This window comes from Homo sapiens, chromosome 14, assembly GCF_000001405.40.
Source record: "Homo sapiens chromosome 14, GRCh38.p14 Primary Assembly".
NCBI lineage: Eukaryota > Metazoa > Chordata > Mammalia > Primates > Hominidae > Homo > Homo sapiens.
The window spans coordinates 54,799,737-54,814,055 of NC_000014.9; the positions used below are offsets into that span (position 1 = coordinate 54,799,737).

The window sequence follows — 14,319 nt, forward strand, 5'->3', positions numbered from 1 at the left end:
CAACTTCCTCTATGTATTTAGATCTCTCTCTGCACTTCCTATTTTTCTTTTCATCAATACATTTGTCTATTCATGTACTAGCACTCCCACTATTTTAATTATTAATTTTAAATTTTGGGATAATGTCTAACAGGGAAATTTATATTTTGGAAAAGTCACTCCGACTGCATTTTGGGAAATGGATTAGAGGAGAGCGCAAGTGCAGGAGTGAGGATGCCCCAGGGGACAGATGATCCAGACAGTTCACAAGCTCAAGGGTATGGCAGCAGGGACAGAGAGAACTGGACAGATCTGTGAGATTCATAAGATGTAGCCTCTCCTATTCAACATAGTATTGGAGGTTCTGGCCAGGACAATCAGGAAAGAGAAACAAATAAAGGGCATTTAAATAGGAAGAGAGGAAATCAAACTATCCCTGTTTGTAGATGATATGATCCTGTATCTACAAAACCTCATTGTCTCAGCCCAAAAGCTTCTTAAGCTGATAAGCAACTTTAGCAAAGTCTTGGGATATAAAAGTCAATGTGCAAAAACCACTAGCATTCCTATGTACCAACAACAGTCAAGATGAGAGCCAAATCACAGATGAACTCCCATTCACAACTGCCAGAAAAAGAACACCTAGGAATACAGATAACTAGGGCGGTGAAAGATCTCTACAAGGAGAACTATAAACCACTGCTCAAAGAAATCAGAGATGACACAAACAAAAGCATTCCATACTCATAGATAGGAAGAATCAATACTGGTAAAATGGCCATACTGCCCAAAGCAATTTATAGATTCAATGTTATTCCCATTAAACTACCATTGACGTTCTTCACAGAACTATAGAAAACTATTTTAAAACATATGGAACCAAAATAGCCAAGACAATCCTAAGCAAAAGAACAAAGCTGAAGACATCACATTACCCAACTTCAAACTATACTACAGGGATACAGTAACCAAAACAGCATGGTACTGGTACAAGAACTGACACATAGACCAATGGAACAGAACAGAGAACCCAGAAATAAGACCACACACCTACAACAAGCAATGGAGAAAGGATTCCCTATTCAATAAATGGTGCTAGGATAACTGGCTAGCCATATGCAGATTGAAACTGGACGCTTTCCTTATACCACATATAAAATTAACTCTGGATGGATAAAAGACTTAAATATAAAACCCAAAACTATAAAAACCCTGGAAGACAACATAGGCAATGCCATTCAGGACATAGGCACAGGCAAAGATTTCATGGTGAAGATGCCAAAAGCAACTGCAACAAAAGCAAAAATTGCCAAATGGGATCTAATTAAAGAACTTCTGCACAGCAAAAGAAACTATCAGAGTAAACAGACAACCTACAGAATGGGAGAAAATTTCTGCAAATTCTGCATCTGACAAAGGTCTAACATCCAGCATCTGTAAGGAACTTAAACAAATTTACAAGAAAAAAAAAACATTAAAAAGTGGGCAAAGGACATGAACAGACACTTCTCAAAAGCAGACATACTATGTGACCAACAAACATATGAAAAAAAGCTCAACATCACGGATCATTACAGAAATGCCAATCAAAACCACAATGAGATACCGTCTCACACCAGTCAGAATGGTTATTATCAAAAAGTCAAAAAAAAACAAATGCTGGTGAGGTTGTGGAGAAAAAGGAGTGCTTATACACTGTTAATGGAGTGTAAATTAGTTCAACCATTGTGGAACACAGTGTGGCAATTCCTCAAAGACCTAAAGAAGAAATACCATTCAACCCAGCAATCCCATTACTGGGTATATCCTCAAAGAAATATAAATTGTTCTATCATAAAGACACATTCACGTGAAAGTTCATTGCAACACTATTCACAATAGTAAAGACATGGAATCAACCTAAATGCCCATTAATGATAGACTGGAAAAAGAAAAAATAGTACATATACACCATGGAATACTATGCAGCCATAAAAAAGAACAAGATCATGTCTTTTGCAGGAACATGGAGCTGGAGGATATTAACCTTAGCAAACTAACACAGGAACAGAAAACCAAATACCACATGTTCTCACTTATAAGTGGAAGCTAAATCATGAGAACACATGGACACATAGAAGGGAACAACACACACTGGGGCCTATCGGAGGGTGGAGGGTAGGAGGAGGGAGAGGATCGGGAAAAATAACTAATGGGTACTTGGCTTAATAACTTGATAATGAAATAATCTGTTCAACAAACCCCCATGACACACATTTACCTATGTAACAAACCTGCACCATGTACCCCTAAACTTAAAAGTTAAAAAATACAACGGACTTTGGGGACTCAGGGGAAAGGGTGGGAGGGAGGTGAGGGATAAAAGACTGCAAGTTAAATTCAGTGTGCACTGCTCGGATGATGGGTGCACCAAAATCTCACAAATCACCACTAAAGAACTTACTCATGTAACCAAACACCATCTGTTCCCCAAAAACCCAGGAAATAAAACATTTTAAAAATAAGAAAGCCAGATATCAACGAGAGAAAAAAAAGACGTAGCCTCATTGTGCTTGATGATGGATCAGACATGGGCTGTAGAGGAGAAACTAATGAGTCCAGGATGCCTCCCAAAGCGTCTTGCTTGGCCAGCTGAGGTGCTGGGGAAGAATTGGGCTAGGGGTAGGGACATGAAATTTGTTATGTTACATAACCCACCTCCTCATCCAGACAAAATACTGTTTTGCTAAGCTGATACATTTGTTGTTAGATTATCCCCCACTTTGCAGATGGAAAAACTGAGACTCAGAGATGTTAAGCAACTTGTCCAACATCACAGAATTGTTATGGAATGAGGCTCCACGATAAGACTCAAATCCAGGTCTGTCTACCCTAAATATTGCTAGGAGATGGCAATGGCTGGTTGTCTTAGGCTCTGGAGACCCCATATGAGCACACACAGTAAGGAGACTGTGATGAACCTCCAGGCCTTCCCTTTCCAACATCTGTTGCAGCCTGAGACACGAGGTTACTGGTAGGCAGCAGAATTCTGCAAAATGACCATCCTATTTGTTTAAATATAGCCCCTAATTGAAAGAGAAGAGCCGACATGGCTGTGGTTCTCAATCTGACTCCATATGGGAGTCACCTGGGGAGCTTTACCAACTACTGATGCCTGGAGTCCATCCTGAGAGACTCTGACTTAGTTGTTCTAGGGCATGGCCTGGGCGTGAGGTTATTAAGCTCCCAGGTGATTCTAATGGGCAGCCAAATGGGAAAACTGCACATCAAATGAAACTGCTTCTCCTAGCTTACTGGTCTATGAGGTTAAGTGCATCTGCAGCCTTGGTAGATGAGGGTAAAAGGCAGCTGCTTCCACGGACTCATTACAGAACTAAGAGCAAGCACCTGATCCACCCTGTTCCTTGGGTGCCCTACCTATGGGAATCATCTAAGCCAGGCAGCATTAGCAGTGGGGTTTCAGCACACTCCCAGTCACTTCTCAAATTTCTTCCCCATTGGCTTCAATGGTGCTTGCAATGCCTACCGCAAAGACTCAATTTTGTAAGCTATGTGTACTTTAATTAGGTTGATGAATTGTTCCCTGGGATACTGTCATGCCAGACACCTATCACCTCCAATCGGGATGGCACCAGGCTCGAGAGGCTAAAGAAGAGACCCAGAGCCAGCAAACGAGACACGGGGCTTATTGAGGGGAACTTACGGAGCAGCCCAGTGGTGGGGACTGGACAGGAGAACCACCACTTATAAGAGCATGCAGTTTATACAGCGTTCTCACTTAACACCCTCCCCCTAGCAACCATCACCTGGCAACCTTCGTTTAACCCAAAACAAAGGGCCTCAATACTCTGTATGACCCACATTTTATGGGACAGGGCAGGATGGGGGCTCAGATATGCCTCACAGATAAGGAATGAGTCCCCAGGTTGGCCACGCTGGAACTCTAAACACACATTCAGGTGCGTCTGCCATACAGGGTGATTCTCAGAAAATGCTTAAGTTATCGCTGTCAGGTGTGTCTGCCGTGCACAGGTGCATCTACCATACAGTTGCATAGCATTAACAGCTGAGTGATCTATTAACCAGAATTCATCAGCCTGATTATCCAGGTATCTGCCAGTATAGTTTCGGGTTGTCTGTTAATGCAGATTAGGTTACACTCCATTAACAGATACTCCCCAAAACCTCAATGCCTTAAAACCACAAAGACTGGCCTGCATGTCCATCACAGGTCATCAGGGACATCTGCTCTATATGGCTTCCTCTGGAATCCAGCTTCTGGCACAGTTGCCACCTACTGGAGTACTGATATTTGCCACAGCAGAGGGAAAAAAAGGACATGCCTTCCACTAGAAGTGAAATGTGTCACTTCCGCTCACACTTCGTCAGCCGAAGCCAGTCACATGGCCACATCTAACTTCAGTGGAGCTGGGAAGCACAATCCTACCCTGCCATGAAGGACTCACAGACAGGGCTGGACCACAGCACTAATATCTCCCACCCGGTCACCGCATGCTGCCTCCCAGCAGAGCACAAACGAATGTTCAAGACGGCTAAGGTCTTGGGGTCCCCATCCGGCCAATGTCCCTCCCCACTTTTGAGGAATGTGAGCCTGTTACAAAGACAAACCCTGGTCACTTTACCTGGGTTTGCTGCTTCTCTTCAGGACCTCAAAGTCTGGAGGAGCTTAAAGTGGCGTCATCAGACGAGGTCATGTCCTGGGTGGCTGGGTGACCTCCTGTTACGCTCCCAGTGTGCTGCAGGATCACTAGGGTCCCAGGGCCAGGCCCAGCCGCGCATTCATCAAACTCTCCTTCTCTGTTAGCTCCCACCCGACTCTGAGCGGGCCAATTTCTTTCATCATCCACCTCCAGCTGGGCTGCAACCTGTGGATCACTCCTGGTTCAAAGACTCAGAAGCAGGGAAATGTAATGCTCTGAAAGGTGCTTTCACGCACAGCGGCTCTCGCCTTCAGGGGATGTTTGAGGCTGCTCTGACTCAGTCTCCCATTCAAAGGCTGGGTTCAGTGGAGAGCCCGCAGGAAGCTAACAAACCGGACTGTCTGAGGGACTGACTCAAAAAAATAAAAAGAAATAGATGATAGAGTAGCAGAAGTGCCTGCAGCGGCCTCCCGCCCGCGATGTGCCAGGAGTGAGGCAGCTTCTGCTCCACCCTCCCTGCTGCCAGCGTAGCCGAATGGGCTGAGGACGCCCCTCTCCTGGCCCTGCCTCCGCGGTCTCACTGCACCTGTATGGAAAGGTGTTGGGCCCTGGCTCCTCAACAGAAAAGACCCTCCCCCACATCCTGCTTTGCCACTCCTGCAGCCTTCGTTTTTAATATTTATACTGAACGGAGCATTCCTTGCCCAGGAGGCTGGGGAAGAACCTCAAAACTGGAAGCAAGGGCTCGTTTTGAAATCTGTCTTCCTTCACGTTTAAAACAGGCAGCTCTCCCATCTGGGTATCTTGAAAATGTGTTGCAAGCCTGAATGCTCCGGCTTCAAATCCCTGGGGCTCTGAAGCCCAAGCCTGCCTTTCCTCCACTCACTTCCCAGCTCTGCCACTTACCAGCTCAGCTATGTGTCCTTGGGTGCATTACTTTGCCTCTCCGTGCCTCCATTTCTCCATCTGTGCAATAGGGGTGCTACCCAGTGGCGCGTTGTGGAGGGTTAAGTGAGTTGATGTATGCACAGCACCTGGAACAGAGCCTGATACATAGGCTGTGCTCTTGAGTGTTAGCCGCGAGTATTGTCATGGTGATTACAATCCTCAAGCACTGTCCATTCCCTACCTCGTCAGCCGATGACAGGAGTTATTAGCTACAAAGTCTTCACTCAGGCCATTCCCAGCACTCTCCCCAGCCTGGAAGCACCCACAAAATCAGGTATCCTGTAGACAGACTGTTCTCCATTCCCCTTGGGACCCACAGCCCTTGCTGTAGCACCCAGTATGAAGGCTGGATCCAAGACTCGGGAGCCATGAGCAACACAGGGGCTGCTGAGAGAAGATGTCCTCTAGCCACACCACACACCCTGATATGTACACGTGCACACCACACACTCATCCCCAGGGTGGTTATGCCAGTTGTGCAGCACTTTTGGTGACTACAAATCCCTCTAGCCCTAAGAGGAACCAATTAAGCAATGTATTTAGTGGCCTTAGCAAGGAGGGAAAGAGTCACCTTAAACATTTTTCCCCGGCGAATCTGACACATTTTGGCAGCCCAGGAGGTTCCAGAAGGGAAAGGGGAAGCCATGCGCAGCTGGCGCCCTCTGGTGGTCAGTGTCTTCCCACTCAGCGCTTGTTCTGGGGAGGCGGCACCAGAACAGCCCTATTCAAATCAACATAAGTCCCTATGCCCCGGGTCACATGCGGTGGAAGGAACCAGGATGAGAAGGATGCCATCCTGGCCCTCGAGGTGCTCATAGTCTCTCAAATCACTGTGTCTTCTAGCCTGGGATTGTTCTCCCGCCCTGGTATCATGACGTTAGTAAGTCGCGCTCATGGAGCTCCGACTGCTGAATCCCCGCTAAGTCCACGTCCTGCGCAAGGCACTTAGTATCCACTAGCTGTCACCTTTACAGCAACACTGTGCCTTCATCTTATCTGGTTTTATAGATGAGGCTCCAGCAACTAGGTGACTTGCCCAAAGTCGCACAGCCCATTTGATGCCAGAGATTTTATTTAAATTTAGTTTATTTTAAACACATACAAATGACACAAAACTCAAATTTTCTGAAGGATTCTATAATGAAAACATCTCCCTCCAACCACTGTTCTGCCAAGTTGCCACACTGTTTGCAACCTTCGTTTTTAGTTTCTCGTGAACTTGTTCAACAATATCCCATGGGTATAAAGGGAGTTTTTTTTTTAACGCACAGAGGCTGCATACCATACACTGTTCCCAGCCTTGCATCCCCGCACCTTCCCTGCGCCCCTTAGGTTAAAACGCAAAGTTGATTTTAAAAATAAATATGGCCTGGGCGGTGGCTCATGCCTTGTAATCTCAGCACTTTAGGAGGCCGAGGAGGGGTGGATCACTTGAGGTCAGGAGTTCAAGATCAGCCTGGCCAACATGGTGAAACTACATCTCTACTGAGAATACAAAAATCAGCTGGGCGTGGTGGCGGGCACTTGTAATCTCAGCTACTTGGGAGGCTGAGGCAGGAGAATCACTTGAACCTGGGAGGTGGATATTGCAGTGAGCCGATATTACAACACTGCACTCCAGCCTAGGCAACAGAGGGAGACTCCGTCACAAAATACATACATACATACATACATAAAAAGGCCTGGACGACAAGATTCTAGATAATGGCCCTACTTAGGACCCAAGCCCCCTTTTGCACCACAAGTGGTCAGGCCAACTTAGTGCTGTTTTTCTCTTATGAGCATGGATTTCCAGAAGTAGAACTGCACTCTAATATCACTGACAATCGTTTTGTAGCAATGAATGCATGGAAATGCCTCATTCTTTTTAAGAGGTATTGTATGAAATAACCACAGGTTATTAAACTTGCCCACTACAGATGGGCATTGAGATGTTGCCAGTCTTCTGTGGTTACAAATATACTGCAATGAACCTCCTTGTCCACCTGCCCTTTTGCACAGGTGAAATTGCTAGGTCAAAGGATACACAGGTGTGTTTGTGATTGTAAAAGATGCCATCAAACTTCCCCCTATTATGGTTGTACCAACTGACCCCCCATTGCAGGGAGTAGAACCCAGGACCTCCTAACTCTGAAGCTAAGGCTGTCTTCCCCTGTCAGTTTCATGACTATGACAAATGTCATGTTGAGGTCCAAAGGGAGTGGGTGGATGAGCAGAAAGAATGCTCAGGGGGCCGTAGGCAGGTAAAATATGATTTTACTCAGCAGCCGCTCTCATCAACAGCTTTCTTACACTGTCTGCCCTGTCTCGGCTGCTTAGTCTGGCTCCCACGCACAGCTGCACGGCCAGCTCTCCCTTGCCTTTAGGGTCAGCAGCTTAACTCTTTCTCTCTCTCTCTCTGGGCATGAGTGAGCCAAGCTGTGTCCATCCAGCCAGTAGGCAGCAGCTCCCGGACAGACTGGGCCCTTGTGGAACACTCCTCAGCCCCCCAACCCCCAGCAGCTAAAGGAGGCATAGTAGCTTTGACTCCTAGGCCTTCAAAGATACAACCCATCCTTTGTCCACTGTCCAGCAATCTGCACACGCTCTGGCCTCCACTAGAGGAAGAGGTCCCATTATGGAGGAGCCTTTAAGACTTTGGCCCCACTGCACTGGGTGCAGCCCCGATGAGCCCACCTTCCTGGCTGCTTCTTACTGAGCACCCTTCAGCCCTGAGGATGGACAGCAATAGGAGAGCTTGGCATCCCACTGCTCCCTGCGCAGCCTCCTCCACCAGCAAAGCTCCTTTTCCTATGTCCCTGCTCCTCCCCGGAATCAAGGGACACCTGGTCAGCCAAGGACACAGCCATCTCAATTCCGAGGGGCCTGGGATGTGTGGGAAATGGTGCCCTCAGGAGCAAGGGCTGGAAGACAATCAGCCCAGGAGCGCCTCGCTGCACACTGCAGAGGATTCTCCAAGGCAGGCAGCTGGAGCAAGAGCTCCAGCAGGGCCTGCTCTGCCCACCAGCCTTGGGGGCTCTGAGTGCTGGGAAGCCCAGCTGGTTCCTGTTTGGCACCTGCAAAAAACCATGAATCCAGCTCTTGGGATGAAAGTAGGGCCTGAAAAACCATCTGGATGGGCCCCTGGGTAGGCAGTGGGCACACAGGGGATGATGGGTGACCTGTGTCACCACACACTCCCAGCATCCAGCCTGTTTATCAGCATGTCATCTACTGTCATTATCTCAAAATACTCCCCTGCCAGCCGATTACAGCAAGTGTCAGCTTCCTAATGCACAGTGCATAAACTGCAGAGCCACACATCAAACCCAGGGGGTCTGACTGGATATTCAAAGTCTGCCCAGAGTGACATCATACTGGTAAGCCCCCAAGAACTACTCCATAGGGAACTCGACTGTGGCTTCCCTGCACCCCTTAGGTTAAAATGCAAAGTTGGCTTTAAAAATAAATAGAAGGTGTGGACAGCAAGATTCTAGATAATGGTCCTGCCTAGGACCCAAGGCCCCCCTTTGCAATACAGGTGGTCAGCCCAACTTGGTGCTGTTTTTCTCTTATGAACTTGGATTTCCAGAAGTAGAGCTCCTGCCGGATTCCTTTCAAAATGCACACCCTCTTGCAACACGTGTCAGGCACGCAGGCGCGGCTCCCACTACAGGAGGAAGTGACCTCCCCATTGGCTGAGAGAGCTTAGGACCATGGTCCTCACGCTCAACTATGCACCAGAAAGAAATTAGTGCTCATTTTTAGGTGGGATAATAATATTGTGGTTATGTCTTTAAAAAGATCCCCTTATGTTTTAGACAGGGGGACCTGTCTACAGATGAAATAATTTAATGTCTGGGATTTGATTCAAAATCATACTAGGGACAGTGAGTAGGAGTAGAGATGCAACAAGATTGGCCATCTATGGGTAACTGTTGAAGCCGGGCTGTGGGTGCATAGGGTTCATTATACTATCCTGTCTACTTTTGTGTATGTTTAAAGTTTTCTATAATAAAAAGCAGAATGAAGAGGAGAAAGAAACACAGAGAGCATGGTAAAAACGCAGCTCTTCAGGGTCCTGGCCCAGGAGTGCAAATGAAGGTTGAGGGCCCAGGAATCTGCTTTTCTCAGGCTCCCTGCTGGCCGGTGAGAAACCTCAGCTTCAGGGTCCCAGAGCCCACAGAGGCCAAGAGGCTGAGGCCAGAGGTCCCCCGGAGCAGCCCCTGTAAATGGTCCCTGTCTATAGTCAGCCATCATTTAGGCTGCAGTGGGCTCGTCAGTGCCAGGAATATGAACGGCCTCACGGTCTATTCATTCTCGCCCGGCATCACTGTCAAGATCACAATAAGCAGCATGGCAGGATCTATGCACGGAGCTGGCTGAATCTTTATTAAAATCTTTTTTTTGTGCATGATGTTCCCAATTTGTTTCTTTGTTCCTGGTATCTGGAGTCACGCAGTTTCTGATATTTGTCTTGGAGATGGAGGAAGTTTGACTGACATGCCACGGTGGTGGAAAGGTAGTATTGATATCCTGAAAAACCTATTCTATCCAGCGAGAAATATCACCCCATAGCCCATGCTGCTGTGTCCGGGCCGCCTCCAAGGCTCGTCAGTTTGGAGGCCCCAGCGAGGTTCTCAGCATGGCTGGCAGGTGCTGCGGCCCAGAACTTAAGTGAAAGTCAAATCTGACTCATGCTTGTCACCTAGAGTGGGTGTTCTACATGTATGTGTTCCTGGGGCCCCAGAGCTGGAAGAGGTGGCCCAGGGCCTCAGGTGCCACACGCCTCCTACAACCCTTCAGCCAAAGCATCTATCTCCTTATGCACTTTACTCATGAGGGGTCTAGGTATGGCCTTTATTTTTTAAGGTTTCTGCTTCTAAAACAAACAAACAAAAAATCAAAACAGGCTAGGCAAGGTGGCTCGTGCCTGTAATCCCAGGACATTGGGAGGCCAAGGTAGACAAATCCCTTGAGGCCAGGAGTTCGAGACCAGCCTGGGAAACATGACAAAACCCCATCTCTACTAAAAATACAAAAATTAGCCAGGCATGATGGTGCACGCACCTGTAGTCCCAGCTACTCGGGAGACTGAGGTGGGAATATCACTTGAGCCTGGAAGGTGGAGCCTGCAGTGAGCTGAGATCATACCACTGCACTCCAGCCTGGATGACAGAGCAAGACCCTGTCTCAAAAACAAAAACAAACCCAAATTTTTTAAAGTTTGAAAAGCACTAACTTTGATATATGGGGAAGAAATGAAAATATGGCCAGGGAGTATGTACAACTAGAATCAGTGGGAATGTAAAATGGTACAGCCACATAAAAGAGTTTAAAAATTCAATATATTCCTACCCTTTGATCCAGCCATTCCACTCCTAGATATTTGTCAGGATGAATGAAAGCATATGTTCGTATAATGACTTATACACAAATGTTCATAGCAACTTTATTTGTAAAATCCCCAAACTTGACCCAAACAACCCAAATGTCCACAGATGAACTGATACATAGTGGTATATTCATGCAAGAGAACACTATTCAGCAGTGAAACAGAACAAACTGTTGATATACACAACAACAGACGAATCTCAGAGTAATTCTACTGAGTGAAAGAAGTAGGACAAAAAAATACAAACCATACGATTCCAGTAACAGAGGATTTTAGAAAATGCACATTCAACTGTTGTGACAGGAAGCAGATCTGTTTTGGAGTCTGTTTTGGGGGAAAAGGGAGGTAGAGATTACAAAGGGGTGTGGGTACTGCTCAGGGGTAAAGAACATGTCTACTATCTCGATTGTGGGGACGGTTTTGCAGGTATATACATATTTCAAAATTCTTCCAATTGCACACCTTAAATACTTGCAGTTTACATCAATGATACCTCAACAAATTTGTGGGGAAAAAAAAATTTAATAGGAAAAATAGCTTTAACAAAATGTGATCAGGAAAAGAAAATCCCTCTCCAGGGTCTGAGACAGAAATTCATCCCAAACCAGGTTTTTTCCAGTGATCTATGTCTCCTGAGCCCCACAACATGAATGGCACCCTGCTAGGTGCTGGAAGAGGCACAAAGCTAATGGTTTAACTGGGGAGATAAGAGACACACCAACTGCCACAGGGCGACGAGACAGGTGTCTCATGAATATCAGCGAGAGCTGCAGGGGTTAGGACTTGAGATGATCAAAGAAGGCTCCTTGGAAGAAGCAACATTTTAGTTGTGTCTTGAGTATATAGAGTTTTGAAAGATGAAGATGGAGCCAGCCGTGTTCCAGGCGGAGAGGCCAGCATGAAGAGATGTACAGATGGAGAACGACCACTGTTAAAACAAGGGGAGTAATGGAGGACACTATGGAGGCCGGATGACAGAAGTCCTTGAGTGCTAGATGACAGAGCCTGGATTTACGAGGCAGGCATGGAGAGCAGAAGAGAAACATGGCTCATTCATTAATTAAGACTTTACTGCGAACCTGCTATGTGTCACATCCAGTGTTGGGGGCCTTGGGATTCAAAGATGACCCCTGCCAGCAGAGTGTGCATCTGGTGAGAGATCTTGATATGTAAACACATAAACAAAACCAAATGGTATTGGTGCCTCAAGCAGAGCCTCCAAGGGCACGTATTATCCAAGATTCTTTTACTTGAAGTGATAGACACCAAACACCAACTGGCTTAAGTAAAAAGGAAAATGTACTGGCTCACAGACATGAAAGTTCATGGGATCATCAGGTACAGCTGGATCCAGGAATTCCATCCATGTCATCAGCACTGCTCCCTGTCTCTCAACCCTGCTTTCCTCTGGGTTGGGACCATCTCAGGTCAGCTTTCTTTAAGGGGTAGCCTAAGGATCTCAGCAGTTTATGCCATACTTAAATCCAAATGAAAGATTTTCTCTTTCCCAACAGTTTCAACTGAAGTCCTGAAATTGAGTCTCATCATCTCTAATTTTCCTAGCTTAGTCACATGCCCTTTCATGAAACAATCCCTGTGGCCAGAGTGATGCCATGCTCTGACTGGTCATCAGTGACACGCCTGGAGTGGGGGTCAACTCCACCACATGCGCGGAGACTGGGGAGAAGTTTTGACAGCGCTGGCTGCATAACCCCACACCCCCAAGCTCTTTCTCTCTTTTTCTCCATTTTGGAGGCTAGAAAAATGAAATGCTAGCCTTCCCCATCTCCTTTGCAGCTAGAGAGAATCTTAACACAGCTCTGGCTGATGAAATATAAGTGGAAGTATGGTGGAGACAACTGGAAAAACTTTGGCTTTTCTGATTAAAAAAAAAAGAAGAAGAAGAACAACTTCAAATTATTCTTCCTCCTTCCCTTCCTTCATCCTGCCTTGAGTGCAGATGTGATGCTTAGAGCTGCAAGCATGAGGAGAGAAACGCTGAATCAAAGCAGGCAACCACCTACCTTCAGAATTAGTGCTATGTGAATGAAATAAATCTTTACGTTGCAGCCACTCTGCATCAGCTTTCTTATCATTTACAGCTGAACGCATTCCTAATGTATCCATCCCCATAGGAAAGTCTGGTGCTGTCATCCGAGGAATGGGGAGCCGGGGCTGGAGAGGCAAAAACAATTCCAGGGAGGGTACAGAAGAGGGCAAAGCCAGAGGAGTCTGTAGGCAGGGAGTGAGAGGCAACTGAGGCCATGGAAAAGAGGGACACGTTCAAGAGAAGCTGAGAAAGAAGAATTGTTAGGTAGAGGGAAAAACCTATTAAGGAGGTAATGACAAGGAAGGTTTGAGTCTGGACACCTCAAATATCCTCAAAATCCCTGATCATGCAATAGGAGCCAGGAGCTATTCCCCATTCCTAGGGCTGTAGATACACACAGAGACCGGATGACTTAGACCCAGCCCTTGTGCAACCAGGAGGGCATCACCTTCTCCCAATCTTCACATGGGCAACCACCAAGGCCAGAAGATAGGTCCAGCCAAGGTGGGGGAATCCCGATGAGTGCTGTTGACATCTTTCATGGTGAGGAAGAGAACTATCACAGGACAAGTCCTGTCATGAAATAACCTGTTTCCTCAGTTGTAAATCATAAGCTGTAAGGTAGCTTGTAATAAGAGCATTTGTAATAAACATAATAATGAGCATAATGATTGGCTTTTACTGAGCCTTCACCTGGCTCCAAGAATTTAACAACTTGCTAGGCATTCTACAGATATCACCTGATTTAGTAACTGCAACAACCCTATAAAATAGTATCATTCCCATTGACAGATGAGGAAACTAAGGTGCAGAGAGATTAAGTAACTGGCCCTGGTTATACAGCTGGTAAGTGCCAGGGCCAAGAGTTAGAGGGCAGCACACACTCTTTCAGTTCTTAGCATCCCACGAGAGAAGTTGCTTCTCTGCTGCCTTTGATGTAGTTGAAGAGGTTAATCAAATTCTCTAGGTCAAGTTCCCCATTTTGGCTTGCTATTTCATAAAAGCACAGTACTGGTTATCCTTCCATCAGCACCTTCCTGAAGAACCATAGCTCCTCCCCTTTATGCTTGTCACCACGTCCCTGGCAAGGCCACCCAGGTAGAGAATGGGGATTTGTTAGATTTGTTAAAACCTTGCTGGGAGACAGGCAAGCTCTCCAACCAGCCTGGGCTTCCTCCATCTATGAAGTCCAATATGAGTGGTCATTAATACTCTTGTCGTCATAATAGTTAATACCCATTGAGTGTTCTCTCTTTTTAAAAATGTATTAACTCAATTAACCTTCACACAATTCCCTGAGATCGATG

General features: G+C 46.4%; 3 annotated features.

The window, feature by feature from the left end:
* Positions 4,984 to 5,785: an enhancer, noted in NCBI's record as "H3K27ac-H3K4me1 hESC enhancer chr14:55271438-55272239 (GRCh37/hg19 assembly coordinates)". NCBI's record gives its function as "activates a minimal SCP1, AML or CMV promoter by ChIP-STARR-seq in primed H9 embryonic stem cells {active_cell/tissue: H9 hESC(primed)}" and the evidence as "EXISTENCE:reporter gene assay evidence [ECO:0000049][PMID:30033119]".
* Positions 8,579 to 9,079: an enhancer, noted in NCBI's record as "H3K4me1 hESC enhancer chr14:55275033-55275533 (GRCh37/hg19 assembly coordinates)". NCBI's record gives its function as "activates a minimal SCP1, AML or CMV promoter by ChIP-STARR-seq in primed H9 embryonic stem cells {active_cell/tissue: H9 hESC(primed)}" and the evidence as "EXISTENCE:reporter gene assay evidence [ECO:0000049][PMID:30033119]".
* Positions 9,615 to 9,909: a silencer, noted in NCBI's record as "tiled region #1906; K562 Repressive non-DNase unmatched - State 23:Low". NCBI's record gives its function as "represses a minimal TATA promoter and a strong SV40 promoter by Sharpr-MPRA in K562 cells {active_cell/tissue: K562}" and the evidence as "EXISTENCE:reporter gene assay evidence [ECO:0000049][PMID:27701403]".